Source organism: Homo sapiens, chromosome 2 (assembly GCF_000001405.40).
Source record: "Homo sapiens chromosome 2, GRCh38.p14 Primary Assembly".
Taxonomy (NCBI): Eukaryota; Metazoa; Chordata; class Mammalia; order Primates; family Hominidae; genus Homo; species Homo sapiens.
The window spans coordinates 234,872,387-234,889,178 of record NC_000002.12 but is presented as its reverse complement, the minus strand read 5'-3'; the positions used below and the strand labels follow the sequence as shown (position 1 = coordinate 234,889,178).

The 16,792-nt window shown below is 44.2% G+C and overlaps 1 long non-coding RNA gene across 5 annotated transcripts in view; it reads left to right on the top strand.

Annotated features, from left to right (window-relative positions):
• Window positions 1-289: 289 nt before the first annotated feature.
• LOC101927896 (uncharacterized) overlaps window positions 290-16,792 on the top strand; it is a 95,712-nt gene continuing 79,209 nt past the window's right edge. For 2 of the 5 annotated variants that reach the window (XR_007088126.1, XR_007088127.1), the window contains exons 1-2: window positions 325-530; window positions 1,362-1,402. This is a non-coding gene — a long non-coding RNA (uncharacterized LOC101927896). Of the gene's footprint in view, window positions 531-603; window positions 900-1,361; window positions 1,403-16,792 lie in introns of those variants that run through there. The other 3 variants (XR_007088125.1, XR_007088128.1, XR_002959457.2) reach the window with 3 other exon arrangements.

Here is a 16,792-nt window from a genome sequence, read left to right as displayed (position 1 = left end):
AGGTCTATTTGAGTACCCTGCCGTGTGAGGTGTCAGTATGCCCCTGCTGGGGGGTGCCTCCCAGTTAGGCTGCTCAGGGGTCAGGGGTCAGGGACCCACTTGAGGAGGCAGTCTGCCCGTTCTCAGATCTCCAGCTGCGTGCTGGGAGAACCACTGCTCTCTTCAAAGCTGTCAGACAGGGACATTTAAGTCTGCAGAGGTTACTGCTGTCTTTTTGTTTGTCTGTGCCCTGCCCCCAGAGGTGGAGCCTACAGAGGCAGGCAGGCCTCCTTGAGCTGTGGTGGGCTCCACCCAGTTCGAGCTTCCCGGCTGCTTTGTTTACCTAAGCAAGCCTGGGCAATGGCGGGCGCCCCTCCCCCAGCCTCGCTGCCGCCTTGCAGTTTGATCTCAGACTGCTGTGCTAGCAATCAGCGAGACTCCATGGGCGTAGGACCCTCGGAGCCAGGTGCGGGATGTAATCTCGTGGTGCGCCGTTTTTTAAGCCCGTCGGAAAAGCGCAATATTCGGGTGGGAGTGACCCGATTTTCCAGGTGCGTCCGTCACCCCTTTCTTTGACTCGGAAAGGGAACTCCCTGACCCCTTGCGTTTCCGGAGTGAGGCAATGCCTCGCCCTGCTTCGGCTCGCGCACGGTGCGCGCACCCACTGGCCTGCGCCCACTGTCTGGCACTCCCTAGTGAGATGAACCCGGTACCTCAGATGGAAATGCAGAAATCACCGTCTTCTGCGTCGCTCACGCTGGGAGCTGTAGACCGGAGCTGTTCCTATTCGGCCATCTTGGCTCTTCCCCCCTTAAATTTTTATTTATGTATTTATTTACTTTTTCATAGAACCACCAAGTCCAATACAATACATTTTGGCAGGAGTTTTCATTGAGATTACATTGAATTTATAGATTAAGGTAAAATCAATATTTTTCTGGTTAAAAAAACTCCTATCCCGAAATACCCTGTTTTTCTCTTTAGGTTTTTAGCTTTTGGTTAGGCGTTACAGAAGATTTCTTTATATATGCATAGCGCATTACTTGGTAGATATATTTTAATGTGTTTTATAATTCTTGTTACTGTGAATGGGATAGTTTTTTGAAAATAAAACTTCTTATAGTGGAAAGTTTCAAAAGCAAAGGCAACTTGTGTGAGGGGAATGAGGAATCCTTGTGTTCCCCAAACCAAGCTGAGTCATGCCCACTCTTCCTTTCTCCCTACGCCACATACTCCTTTCTACCTCCCCAGTTATTTTGAAGCAAATCCTGGATTTAACATTATCCACCATTGGCTCTTTCATGTTAATTTTGGGCCTGAAAACTTACTTAGCTTTCTTATTCGTTTTAATAACATATTGTTAATTTACTTTGCTTTTTCAGGTAGAGACACTTTTGACTTGATCTCTGCAGTCCTCAACATGGTATGTAACACAAGATAGGTCCTTAATACTTGCATTTGCTTGGTTCGAAACTAAACGCGTGACCGTCACGATGACATCTCTCAGCTTGCTCTCATGTGGCACCACTGGGTCATCCTTCCCATCCCATGACAGTTGTTAGACTCAAGTTCAGGTTTAGTTGGTCTATCCTAGCCCCCCGTGTTGTTTACCATTCCACAGACAATGCATTTCTTGGCTACTGGGAAAAAACATCCTGCAGTGTGAACCAATCTCCCCCTCTCCCTGCCTAGCCCTGGGTCTCAGTTTGCAGAGGCTCTGCCTTGGGCTCATTCTCACAGAGCAGCAGCAGCCGCAGATAAAAGTGGGGCAAGGTTCACCTGAGCACAAAGCAGAGCCCGGACTGGCTAATAAATTATGTAGAGATTCTATTGCTCAGAACCTGAATCCATTATTCAGCTTTAAAACAGGAATAAAATATGCAAATGCAGCAGGCAGAAGTGCACACACAGCACACACCATGCTTCAGCCTTGGCAATGGCTGGGCCCACTGGAGTTTCAGAGACAGACACTTTATTTCCTCTGCCTACGAGTGTGTAGAAAGAGACAGAAATCTCAGCCATGGCAAAAAAGCACCGGGCCACTGTTTATCTTCAGATCTGGCCTTGGGAGACATCTTTAGTGGCCCCCAGCAGCAGAGAAGTCAAGACCAGCCTCTGGGGAGAGGCTTGGGTCAACCTGTCCTTGTCTTTCCCCTGAAAGAGGGAAACTCTTTGATGGCAGTTTCAATGCAAAGTTGTGCCCTTCCCGATCCCATTCTCCTATAAAATAACCTATTATTGGTGGCATCCATATATGAACATAAATCCCCTTTGACAATTTTTGTTTGATATTTTGGGTTAGCACATTCTGCTACTTATTGGGTAAGGTAGTCATGTTTTCTTTACTCTGATGTTGACCTCTTTCTATCAAGTAAGTTGCTGAGACGAGGCTGGGCGCGGTGGGTCACACCTGTAATCCCAGCACTTTTGGAGGCCAAAGTGGGCCGATCACTTGAGGTCAGGAGTTCGAGACCAGCCTGGCCAACATGGTGAAACTCCGTCTCTACTAAAAATACAAAAATTAGCCAGGTGTGGTGGCGGGTGCCTATACTTCCAACTACTCGGGAGGCTGAGGCAGGAGAATCACTTGAATCTGGTAGGCAGAGGTTGCAATGAGCCAAGATCTCACCACTGCACTCCAGCCTGGGCAAACGAGTGAGACACCATCTAAAAAAAAAAAAAAGAGGTCTACATTCAGCTTGTCTACTCCTCAGTCACGATTTTAAGGTTCTCATCCATAAGAGAGGCCTGAGGCTTCTCAGTTTTAAAAACGTGTCCTCATGGCAACTCCCACACCATCCTTGACTCTGATCCCCCCTGCTTCTTCTCTGGCTTTGGTATGGCTTTCTTTGGTTCTGCCACCCAAAGTGAAACTGGCTTGGTTGTGTGCCTAGGCTGGGAAGATTTAATCTCATTGAAAAAGTAGCTGCTATTTAATGAAAAGAGGGCTGGATTTGAAATCTGAAAATATGGGCTCAAGGCCTGCAAGTACAATTTACTGCTGGGGCCACCCTGGTGGAGCCGTTTCGCATCCTGGAGCCGTCAGTGTCATGGATAACACTGAACTCAGTGAACTCAGACCTTTGGTACAAGAGTCAGACAGGATGATGGGTGTAAAAGTATTGGGTAGGATGTGTTGTTTATCCTCATATCACTAGGACTGTATCCGGCTGACATGCACCAGAACACATTACTGGTTGTTAAAATGCTGAAGTATTTCTGTGCCAGGTCAGAAATAGCTGTCTTTCCAAGAAGCCCCACACCCCCAATGTCCCAGGGTTCCTCAGTGCTCTTCCCACCTCGACCTCTCGTTTACTGCCCCTGCATTCCCACTGTCCTGCAACGAAAGAGTTAATGGCTGGTACTATTCCCGAGACTCACAATTTTCTGCCTTTGGCTCCAGGCAACACACATTTATTTTCAGCATTAACTGGAGCTTAACCCCAATGTTAAAAATTAGAATCTGCAGAAGTTAAAATTGGCCGCTTAAGGCAAATTCTCTCTCCCTCTCTCTGAAAGTATGAATTACTGCTTCTACTGTCTGGGTAAGATGAACTTGATATAATAGCCCCAATCTTGTTTGTTCCAATAGAATATTTCATACGGTCGAAGAAGGCTAAATTATGTGTTTTGAAATTCCCTGAAGCTGCAATTCAAGAAGTGTATAATTAAGCCCTGGCATTATTAAGGAGTAGAAAATATTTTTCTTCCAACTTTCCTATGGTTTAAAAACTATTCAGGCTTTGGATTTTTGTGATAGCAGACTAGGTGACACATTCTAAGAACTACCGTTAAATGGTGAACGAAAGTCAATGAATGTGGCCCTCCTGCTGGGAGTAAAAAGACTTTCTCACAGCTTTGCATTGGCAGCAGGCGTAGGTATTCCCTTCTTGGAGGCGGCCCTGAGAATCTGTGACAGGTGCGACACTTTTCAGCTACAGTGTCTGGAAAAGATATGGTTCAGCCTTCAGATCCCTTCCTGGCAGGGGTGACGAGAGTGGGCCGTGGCAGTCATTAAGTTCATTGTTTCAGTGAGATCCATACCTCCTTGAGAACTGCTTATGTTTCTCTAAAGAGATAACGTCACTAAAGGGTGAAGGCTTTTAAGGATAAAATCACACAAAAAAGAATATATTCTTGCATTGCTTAGATGTTGTTTTCCGTCCCTGGGGCTGTTATAACAAATTGCCAAAAACACGATGGCTTAAAGACAACAGAGTTTTATTCTTTCACAATTCTGTAGGTCGAAGTCTGAAATCAAGTGTGAGCAGGGCCACATGGGCCCATTCTGAAGACCCGAAGGAGAGTCCCCCTTTCCCTCTTCCAGCGTCTGGCAGTCCTAGGCCTTCTTTGGTTGACGGCAGCCTCACTTCCATCTGTGCCTGTGACTCACATAGCCCTCTTCTCAAAGTCTCTGACTTTCTCTTCTCTTAAAAGAACACCTCGGCTGGGTGTGGTGGCACACGCCTGTAATCCCAGCACTTTGGGAGCCCCAGGCAGGTGGATCACCTGAGGTCAGGAGTTTGAGACCAGCCTGACTAACATGGTGAAACCTCGTTTCTACTAAATACAAAAAAATTAGCTGGGCATGGTGGCACATGCCTGTAATCCAAGCTACCTGGGAGGCTAAGACAGGAGAATTGCTTGTGCCTGGGAAGGCAGAGGTTGCAGTGAGCCGAGACTGTGCCATTGCACTCCAGCCTGGGCAACAAGAGTGAAACTCCATCTCGAAAAAAAAAAAAAAGTAAAAAGAATCCCCAAAAAACCCCCACACCTGCTGTTGAGTTTAGGGCCTCTCCTCAATGCAGAGTGCTCTCATCTTGAGATAACTTAATGATATCTGCTGATAAAGATCCTTTTTCCCATAAGGTCACATTCACCAATACTGAAGATTAGGACATGAATGTATATTTTGGAGTCACAATTTAACAGACTTTAGATGTATATTTAAAAAATTCGGAAGATAACTAAGGGATTGATTACAATAGTTATCTATCTGGGGAGAGGGCGGAAAGAGAGGATAAGGCAGCAGAGGAGGAAGGGAGAATTTTGCTTCTATTTCATTCTTAAACAATTTAAAGTTTTGAGTCTGGTAAATCTGTCACTTAGTAAATAATTAAACAAGTAAATCTAATTTAAAATGATACATTTTCATTTTTATACTTTTTTTTTTTTTTTTTTGGGACAGAGTCTTGCTCTGTTGCCCAGGCTGGGGTGCAGTGGCACAATCTCGGTTCACTGCAAACTCAGCCTTCCCAGTTCAAGCGATTCTCCTGCCTCAGCCTCCCAAGTAGCTGGGATTACAGGTGTGCACCACCACACCCGGCTAATTTCTGTATTTTTAGTAGAGATGGTGTTTCACTATGTTAGCCAGGCTGGTCTCAAACTCCTGACCTCAGGTGATCTGCCCGCCTTGGTCTCCCAAAGTGCTGGGATTACAGGGGTGAGCCACCATGCCTGGCAGTCAGTTTCAATCTTTTTCAATCTTTTTTTTTTTTTTGAGATGAAATTTTGCTCTCATTGTCCAGGCTGGAATGCAATGGTGTGATCTCGGCTCACTGCAACCTCTACCTCCTGGGTTCAAGCAATTCTTCTGCCTCAGCCTCCTGAGTAGCTGGGATTACAGGCGCCCACCACCAGGCCCGGCTAATTTTTTTGTATTTTTAGTAGAGACGGGGTTTCACCATGTTGGCCAGGCTGGTCTTGAACTCCTGACCTCAGGTGATCTGCCTGCCTCGGCCTCCCAAAGTGCTAGGATTATAGGCATGAGCCACAGCATGGGGCCCAGTTTCAATCTTTTACCAATGAAAACCTGAACACAAAACAATAATTCTTAACCAATCATGATGAAACACAGTAACTTTTTTTTTTAATAAAAGGAAGAAGAAAGTGTTGAAAATTGACATCTATGTTTACATATCACAGCAACACAAAGTGCCAGCAAAAAAAAAAAAAGTGGAAAAATGAAAGTATCTTGGCCCCATGAGTTTTGCTCTGCTTCCCACTGTCATTTATTCAGTACATGTGTCACTAGATCCAGGACTTGCTCTAGAAGTTGGAGGAAGTCAATGGCACTGTGAGAAACGTGAATTACCAAGGGACTCTGTCATGTCCTTCGTTACTCATGTGACTTCCTTACATGAAAGGAAAATAGATCCTGGGGCCTCCAAATCACTCAGCTAAAGGGAAAAGTCAAGCTGGATCTGCTTAGGGCAAACCTGCCTCCCATTTATTCAAAGTCATCCCACTCTTCACTGAGATAAATGCATATCTGATGGCCTCCTTTGGAAAGGCTCATCAGAAACTCAGAAGAATGCAACCATTTGTCTCTTATCTACCTATGACCTGGAATTTCAGTATTAAACCAATGTTTATCTTGCATATATTGATTGATGTCTCATATCTCTGTAGAGACTACATGAAAATTTTGTTGTTGAAATAATTCGTTGTACTGAGCTTCAATTGAAATGCTTAAATACCTTGAAAACATTTCCATTTTTGCCTTTACTCAAATCAGGTGGTGGCTACTTTCTAATGAATGCAAATCCCAGTATGTGAAAAGTGTGGGTTAGGACAATAAAAGGGGAGGTGACACCATTTTAATGGTTTCTCAGAAGCTGTGCTCCGATGTCCTTGGGCACATGTCATCAGTACCTCCTGAGGTTATGTCACAGGTGCATGTCCTTAACTTTGGCAAAATAAACTTCCTAAATTAACTGAGATCTGTCTCAGATATTCAGGCTTCAGAGCTATGCCAGCTAACCCCTTATGCTGAAAACGAGGACTTAGAAGGAAAGGGCAAGAGAGCCAGACTTGCTTTTTCCTTTTTTTTTTTTTTTTTTAAGTCTTTCCTTATTCATCAATAAGCCAAAAGTAGAGGTTGTTAGTAGAAAATGTGTGCACCAAGAAGTGAAATAAAGACAGTTGAGTTCATGTGTTGTAGTGTTTCCAATGTTCTGCTAAGAATGAAATATATATGCATGTACAAGCCACAAAATACAAATTGTGTAATTTTGGTGATGCTGCATATGAGTTAAATGTACTTATGTTTGTATTTAAACGTGAAATTGCACAATATGAAGAGTAATGGTAAAATTCATGCTAATGATTTAAAATTGTATTCTTTCTTTACTCAAAACGACCTCAAGGAGCAAAGTAAAAACACCATAACAAATTGAGAGACTGTAGAAAAAGGGAAAAGCCTTATCTTTTACTACATTCCATGGCACGTTTCTCCTGCTTTTTGAATGAGAGCACTTACAGTTTCATTTTGCATTTGGCTGCAAAAACAGCGCAGCGCCCCCTGCAGGGAGCTGTATCACGGTGTTCTGATCAGCCTCTGGGGAAGTGGCCTCCTCTGGTCCAATCAGCTTGTGGACTGAGGATCACGTGATACAAAATATGGCCACCCCTGCATGAACCTGGAGCAACTGCCCTGGGTAGGTACCCGTACAAGGAAAGGCAATCCTTCAAGCAATAATCTTTTGGCAGTCTCCCTCACCTCTGTTCACCCCTGGGTATTTTTGGCATTGCTGTTTTTAATGATGGGGTGTGATGTTTCCTCAGCCTGTTAAACTTCATTGTGTTATTTTTTAACTGCTTCTGAGAAACTACTAAAATGCTGTTACCTCCCTTTTTATTGGCCTAAGCCACACTTTTCACATACTGGGCTTTTCATTCATTAGAAAGTAACCACTTATTTTGAGTAAAGGCAAAAATGGAAATGGTTTCAAGGTATTTAAGCATTTCAAGTGAAGCTCAGCACAGTGAATTATTTCAACAACAAAATTTCCATGCAGTCTCTTAGAAGAAAAATGTATCTTAACTAAATTTTAGGACTTCACATTTTGTTTTGTTTTGTCTTGGCTTATTTGTTATTTAAATGTGCGGATCTGTGAAATAACATCATTTCTTTTTAAAAGACAGCAGGTTCTAACTTTAGTACTTCCTGAGCAAAAAGAACTAAGGTTGCAGAAAGCTTCTCTTTCAGGCTGTCTTTCTGGCATTGCTGCAGGCAGTGCTGCCCTTGCTGGGAGGTCTCCACCATCCACATTAGCCTGCATGTCTCTGTCCCTTTGCTTCGTTTCCCACCTCTACCCACCTGCCCACCACACTCTCACACTTCCCCTGCCCAACCAGAATTGCCATCAGGGGCTATTGGTCCAATCCCAAATGCTAGTAACAGAACTGAAAAGCCCAAGTTTGAAGGGAATTTCTTCTTCCGTGAAGTCCCCTGGGAGAAAATTTTCTGGAAGACTCACCATCCCAGAGGCTACACAGCTCAGGACAACCCCTGTTCTTTTAAGGGAAAAGTGAAAGCCTGGACTTGTAGGTTTTCCCCACCAGTTTTCACATGGAGCTGATATCGGCATCTCTGCAAGGCCAGGAGGAGATTGAGTGACCTCTCTGGAACTCCGAAGTTTACTTTCCCTGCGTTTTCGTAACTTGTTCTCAGCTCTTTGAACTGCATCCAAGTGCCTAGTTCATGATGCCATAATTGCTCACCGGGTTCAAGGGCAGAGCTCTGGTTTCATATTGTAAAATTCAGTGCACCTGGGTACCACATAATAGCTGTGCTAAGACATGTGTGCATTACATCAGCTATGATTCATTCCTGTGATCTAGTTTAGACCACAATCTGATAACACAAACCAATTACTTAAACTGTTAGAAGATGCTTAACTGGAAAAAACATATCTTTAGTTTTCCTTCCAACTTTAGTCTAAACCATATATATATATGTTTTTATATATATATATATGTTCATATTCCATATATATGTATTCCAAATACTCTACATGAGTTTTAACAACAAAACTTGGGGGAATGGGATCTAAAATGTATTTCCCAGGTCTAGCTTGGATGGACTTCAGGGTCATTAACAAGCTGTGCCAAGCAGCATATGAAATCGGTGAGATAAGCTTTGATGCATATTAGCTGTGGGACCTTAAGCAAATGACTCATACTCTCTGAGCTAAAGTTTTCTTATCTGTGAAATAAGCATAGCAAGCCCTCCCCCTAAGGACTGTTGGGGTTAAATTAAATGGTAAAAGCTCCTTAGTCAGTACTCAATATAGGTTCAGTACAAATTGGTCTTTTTTCCTTTCCAATCATGGATACGTACCTGTTGGGCAAAGTAGGTTTCTCCTGGCCATGCCAGGGGACTTCTCACTGTGCTGCAGCCAAGGCTTGATTGAGATTGGCTCCTCTGGGTCTTTAGGGACATATCTTGATTGATATCAACCAATCACAGTTATCCTGTGTTAGGGCAACAAACTGCTACCCAAATCTGCAGCCTGGTGGCAGGGATTGAGTTAGGGGTGACCCAGGCAGTGCAAAGCTCAGCCATTTTTTTTTCTCCATTTGGACGTGAGCAAAGAAGCTGTGGCTCTGGTTACTGAAAAGGGTGAAACAAAGAATCTCCAACAGACAGGCGGGGGCTCTGTTTGAGCAAAGTCTCAACGGGACTCTTGTTTTATAGCACTATCTGCCATCCTCAAATACACCAGCTACCACTCTGGGCACCCATAAGAACAGAATGTCACTCATCTCTGGGTTTTCGATCCAGAGCTGCAAGTGGATGAGAATGGAGCTGAATCACATAGGACCCATTCGAGCACTTCCACCAGTTGAGCCTCTTCGAATGGATTTTAAGATCACCTCCTTCACACTAGCTGCATATGTGGAGCTTCCACTGTTAGACACAACACAATGGAATATGGCTGATATGGTTTAGCTCTGTGTCCCCACTGAAATCTCACCTCGAATTGTAACCCTCGAGTATTGAGGGAGGGACCTGTAATCCCCAGGAGTGGAGAGAGGGAAGTGATTGGATTATAGGGGTGGTTCCCCCATGCTGTTCTCCTGATAGTGAGTGAATTCTCATGAGATCTGATGTTTTTATAAATGATAGTTTTTCCTGCTCTCTTTCCCTGTCTCTCTCTCCACCCTTCTCCTGTCTCCTCTCTTCTCTGCCCTCCTCTCGCTCTCTCTCTCACCTCCTGCCATGTAAGATGTGCCTGCTTCCCCTTCTGCCACGATTGTAAGTTTCCTGAGGCCTCTTCAGTGGAACTGGCTGAAGAGGCTGAGGCAATTAAACCTCTTCTCTTTATAAGTTACCCAGTCTTGGCAGTTTTTTTTGTTTTGTTTTGTTTTGTTTTTTGAGACAGAGTCTCGCCTTGTCGCCCAGGCTGGAGTGCAATGCCGCAATCTCGGCTCACCGCAACCTCCGCCTCCTGGGTTCAAACGATTCTCCTGCCTCAGCTTCCTGAGTAGCTGAGATTATAGGTGCCTGCCACCATGGCCAGCTAATTTTTGTATTTTTAGTAAAGGCGGGGTTTCACCGTGTTGGCCAGGCTGGTCTCTAACTCCTGATCTCATGATCTGCCCTGGCAGTTCTTTATAGCAGTGTTATAACAGAGTAATGCAATGGCTATCTCTATTTTTACCTGCTGGTAGGAACCACAGGCAGAATGTTAAACCTCTGAGATCTCTCCAGACCATAAGAGTGGGTATAACACTTTCAGGATTGTGCCGTTTAACCCAGTAATCTAACTTTTAGACACATCTCCTGAGATACAGTCCTGAGAAAGAAAAAGGCTGTCTTTGTGAAAATGTTATTATAGCATTACCTCTGTATATATTTTGATTAAAATTAGAAAAGCATTACACTTAGTTGTAAAAACTGACAGTAGCAAAGGATTGAAAGTGAAATATATTAGCTCATTCCTTCCACATGACCCCTCCATGGCCTCACATCCCAGAGGTAGTATTATTCTAAAAAAATTTATTTACATAAATGAATATATTGGAGACATTTGTGTAAAAGCCTTAATTTGTGTTTAAAAATATTTAAGGGAGGCCGGGTACAATGGCTCATGCCTGTAATCACAGCACTTTGGGAGGCCAAGGTGGGCAAATTGTTTGAGGTCAGGAGTTTGAGACAGCCTTGCCAACATGGTGAAATCCCGTCTCTACTAAAAATATGAAAATTAGTTGGGTGTGGTGGCAAGTGCCTGTAATCTCAGCTACTTGGGAGGCTGAGGCACGAGAATCACTTGAACCCAAGAGACGGAGGTTGCAGTGAGCCGAGATTGCGTCACTGCACTCAAACCTGGGCGGCAGAGTGAGGCTCCACCTCAGGAAAAAAAAAAATTATAAGGGAATATCGAAATAATGAGGGATCCACTAAATTATACTGTAAGCAAAACAAAATAAAACCAACAAACCAACTAGCCCTAAAGCAACCTAAGTGCCATCAGTCTGGAACAGATTGATGAATTTGGTATCATCTAATGGAATGCTATATATCCATGACAAGGAATGAAGAAGACCTACATGTATTTTAACAGAAATGTGTCTAAGATACACCCTATATGCCAGTAAGTGAAAAAAAACAAGTTACAAAATAATATGTACAGTACCATTCCTTTGCAGTATAATGATATGGTTTGTACTATTCTATAGTTATCATAAATCAAGACATTTTTTGATAAATGGAGATATTTTGGATATTATATACTAGTATTAATTGCTGATGTCAGAAGAAGCATGGAAAAAGGTTCTCTGGACTAAGCAATGTTCTGTGTTGCCACAGCTGCTGGCTCAGTGATATGGCTGGGCTCTGTGTCCCCACCCAAATCTCATCTTGAATTGTAATCCCCACGTGTTGGAGGAGGGGCTTGGTGGGAGGTAACTGGGTTATGGAAGTGGATTTCCCCCTTGCTGTTCTTGTGATAGTGAGTGAGTTCTCATGAGATCTGATGGTTTAAAACTGTTTGGCACTTCCCCCTGCATGTTGTCTCTCTCCTGCCACCATGTAAGACAGGGCTTGCTTTGTCTTTGCCTTCTGCCATAATCATAAGTTTCCTCCCTCACAGCCATATGGAACTGTGAGTCAACTAATCCTCTTTTCTTTATAAATTATCCAGTCTCAGGTAGTTCTTTATAGCAGTGTGAGAATGAACTCATACAATCAGGTTCCCTCCTTAGTCTCAGCAGCATGCTGCATACCTGATCTGGCTATCGAAATCTCTATAAATGTCTTTAAATTTTATTGAGTCTAAAAGATGCTGGAAGGGATCCAGATAATATGTGTCAGAATCCATCTTGATTCCTGATAATAAACAATCAGTGACTACTGTTTACAAGAAGTAATAAAGAGAGAGCTAATTAATAGCTTGGCAAAGCAATATTATAGAGAAAATCACTAGTCAATTTTATTAGTCTGTTTTCATGCTGCTGATAAAGACACACCCAAGACTGGGTAATTTATAAAGAAAAAGAAGTTTAATGGACTCGCCATTCCACATGGCTAGGAGGCCTCACAATCATGGCGGAAGGTGAAGGAGGAGCAAAGGCATGTCTTACATGGCAGCAGGCAAGAGAGAGAATGAGAACCAAGTGAGAGGGGAACCCTTTAAAAAACCATCAGATCTTGTGGAACTTATTCACTAACATGAGAACAGTATGGGGGAAACTGCCCCCATGATTCAAGTATCTCCCACCAGGTCCCTTCCACAACATGTGGGAATTATGGGAGCTACAATTCAAGATGAGATTTGGGTGGGGACACAGACAAACCATGTCATTAATGAAATAAGGGACTTCAAAACAAACCAGAGCAAATGTCTTCCGATGTAGTACAGTTATGTAAGAAAAAGGAGATGTTACAAATTTTCTATCATGCGTTCCTTAAAACATGCAGAAAGATATTGCACCTGTGAAAGGCAAATGGGCAGAGAAAGAACAGCGAGATCAGGCAATAATGTGAGAAGATGAAAAAAGCACAATAGTGGAATTTAAAATCCCAGATGGAAGCAGCAACAACAGATTCGAGGCTGCAGAAAACCTGATCAGTGAAGTAGATGACACATGTGACAAACTCTTCTGCCTAAAAATAAAAGTCAAGGGTATGAAAAAGATGAGGAAGTGAAAATGATGGGAGGAAAAAAGACCCATAGTTTAAGGATGTGGCATGTACATGTAAGAAAGTACAGAACACATGGAAAAGAAACACTGAACAAATAGAAACGCTCTTGACCTAAAGAAAGAGTTGGCCTTCATGTTAAAAAGGTTCATTAAAACAAAGTCCAATTATTTAGAAGAGCGGGACACCGAGACTTAGCTTTGTGACACTTGGATGTTTCAGGCACAAAGAAGGGACCCAGAGTAAATAGGAGCAGTAAGTAAATAAGAGCAACAACCGCAATAAAAACAAAAAGTCAGGTAACCCCAAACAACCAGTCAGGCCTGGCTTCAGACTTCCACAGAATAAAAATCCAGCAGGCAGTAGAGTCGTGTCCTCAGAATTCTGAGAGGAGAGATTTTTTGAAAATGCTGAACAGAACTGACTACATAATTCGCAGAGCCTAGGCAGGCAGAGGCTTGGTGGACAAATCACCTGAGGTCAGGAGTTAAAGACCAGCCTGGCCAACATGGTGAAACCCTGTCTCTACTAAAAATACAAAAATTAGGCAAGGCGCATGGCTCACGCCTGTAATCCCAGCACTTTGGGAGGCCTAGGCAGGTGGATCACGACGTCAGGAGATCGAGACCATCCTGGCTAACGTGGTGAAACCCCGTTTCTACTAAAAATACAAAAAAATTAGCCAGGCGCGGTGGCAGGCACCTGTAGTCCCAGCTACTCGGGAGGCTGAGGCAGGAGAATGGGCGTGAACCCAGGAGGCAGAGCTTGCAGTGAGCCGAGATTGTACCACTGCACTCCAGCCTGGGCGACAGAGCGAGACTCCATCTCAAAAAAAAAAAAAAAAAAAATACAAAAATTAGCCAGGTGGTGTGGTGGTACACTCCTGTAGTCCCAGCTACTCGAGAGGCTGAGGCAGGAGAATCGCTTGAACCCAGGAGATGGAGGTTGCAGTGAGCTGAGATCACACTACTGCACTTCAGCCTGGGCAAAAGAGTGAGACTTGGTCAAGAAAGAAAGAAAGAGAGAAGGAAGGAAGGAAAGAAAGAAAGAGAGAGAGAGGGAAAGAAAGGAAAGAAAGAAAAGAAAGAAGAAAGAAAGAGAAAGAAAGAAAAGAAAGAAAGGAAGAAAGAAAGAGAAAGAGAAAGAGAAACCACCTAGAGAATTTAAAAGTCAAAATACCTGGACAAGAAAGGTAAGAGAGCAGCTGAATATTAGAAATGTAGAGGAAAAAAGCTCTTTATTTCTTCATGTGTGCAAATTCCAAAGCACCTCTTACCAATACAAATATTAGTCAAAAAAAAAAGATAAACATCAGAAGAGAGGACTATGTAGCAAACTGGAGAAAACAGTATTTCAGTGCCAGACAGCAGAGAAAGGGAGGGCAATAATTTTCCTTTAAAGCAATTCAGAGAAGTTCTCTTATTTTCTCAACATCCCGGAAGCATGCTTGCCTGTATGTTGTAAGCAATGGCAGATATTGACGAGCCGAATTTTCTCATCCTGTCCAGAAATTGTCTGAGGAAGTGCTCCAAGGCATCTCCCCCTGTCAAACATTCTGGGACACACAGGTATTGCAGGGGCAGCATCTGCACTTTTGCTTGGAGGGACGCTCAGACCTCATGATTCAGCAGATGCAGTGCTTAATTGGGAAGCCACCGTCTTGTCGGAGAGCAGTGAAAGAAGCCCATTTGCCCCACCTAGCTAGCAACTGTGTTCCATCATGGGGCAAGCTCAACAGTCATGCCCAGCCTGCAGCGAGTATGTGATGGCTGAGAAGGGTGTTTTCAGAACCCACCCCAGCACTGCTCACAAGCCCTCTTTGTGCATCTCCTTCCCCAATTCCAGAGGTGCAGCCTGCACCCGAAAAGCTGTTTTGCTCAATGTTATCTGTACATTCATTGTGTTTTCCAACCTCTCGCCTCCGTACTTTTATTTCCACATCTGTAATCCACTTCATCCTCTCAATTTAATGCACCAATTATTTTTCACTTTTTTTGTTAATTTTTAGGGATGGGGTCTCACTCTGTCACCCAGGCTGTAGTGCAGTGGTGTGATCATAGCTTGCTGCAGCCTCAAACTCTTGGGCTCAAGTGATCTTTCTACCTTGTAGCTGGAACAAGAGGTGCACATCAACACATCCAGCTGATTTTTAAATTTTATGTAGAGACGAGATCTGGCTATGTTGCTCCGGCTGGTCTTGAATTCCTGACTTGAAGCAGTCCTCCCACTATGGCCTCCCAAAGTGCTGGGATTACAGGCATGAGTCACTGCATTAGGCCGGATGCACCAAAATTCTCCCCAAGCTTGAAACAGCGGCTGTGCTTTGTCACTACGCTGGGTGGGGCCAGCCCTGGAAACATCCCCTTCCCCGCCAGCCTGCCTCTTTAATGGCCAGTCATGGAAAAAAGTCAGTGCTGGGACATCTTTTCCAAAGGAAAAAGCCTCAACTTTCAGTTTCAGGCTCTTATTTGTTTTTGGTTACAGGAAATTTCTACTTCTTTTCTAATTTCCCATCTGTTTGTCAACTGGTGTATTTTTTTCTAGCTCAGTGCCTTCCCACACGGGTCCTGAGGACTCTGGTCAGGCCCTACCTTCTTAGAGCCACACAGCGCAGCAGGCCAGGCACAGCACCGGAGGGCTTGGTCCTGCTCAGGTTCCGAGATAATACTGACCATGCTGGGGGACAGGGCTGGGAAAAGAAAATCCCAGCCCTGACCCCTTGCCCACCCTTCCTTCTTAGCCCAGCAGCTGGGTACCTGCTTGATATGGTTTAGCTGTGTCCCCGCCCAAACGTCATCTTGAATTCCTACATGTTATGGGAGGGACCCAGTGGGAGGTAATTGAATCATGGGGGCGGGTCTTTCCCATGCTGTTCTTGTGATAGTGAATAAGTCTCATGAGATCTCACAGTTTTAAAAATGGGAGTTTCCCTGCACGAGTTCTCTCTTCGCCTGCTGCCATCCATGTAAGATGTGACCGACTCCTCCTTGCCTTCCGACATGATTGTGAGGCCTCCTCAGCAATGTGGAACTGTAAGTCCATTAAACATCATTGTTTTGTAAACTGCCCGGTCTCAGGTATGTCTTTATCAGCAGCCTAAAAACAGACGAATACACTGCAATTACCACAGGGCTCGTCCAGGCCACCTCTCCCCTGAGCTTGTACTCTGACTTGCTGAACACCATTGTTCTGCCCCTGAATCTTGACCTCTGCTCTGACCCCAAACCCTCTTCTGTGGACTCCCCCAGAAAGACCTTCCACTATCTTCTGTCCTTGGATCCACTGTGACCTTAACACACCCCAGGACACCGCTCAAGCCAGCTTCTGAGGGTTCAAGTCCCTTACTCCAGTTTGGACTGGACATGGCTCTGTTTATTTTCCTGCCTTGCTGTATTCTGAAGTCCCAGTGCCTTCCAGCCACACCTCCTCAGGTGTTCGCTGTGTCCTACCAGTGACACTGAGGCCCAACCAGATGCCCTTTGAGAACCAAGGTTGGGTCATTCTGAAGACAGTCCATTGCCAGTTCTTTCATGGATGTTTCTCTTTCTCTCTGACTTGCTTCATTCTCCAATTTCTAGGCCACCTGCTAGAATTTTCAGCAGGAAGTTAGGCTACTGCTCAAGGTGACAGGTCCTGAGGGACTTTTCTTTATCTCTCACATGGGACACCCCTTGCAGGGAGCCAAAAGTGGGTTCAAACCTTGCCTCTGCTAGCAGGAATGACCTTGGGCAAGGTACAGAACCTCTTTGAGCCTCAGTTACCTCCTCTGTAATAGGAAAATTGTAACTTCCGGGTTACTGTGAGAATTAAATGGGGTTAAACATGTAAGAACACACGAGAGACTCAGTAAATGTTGCTTCTCTTTCCTTCCCTGCCGTGCCCCAG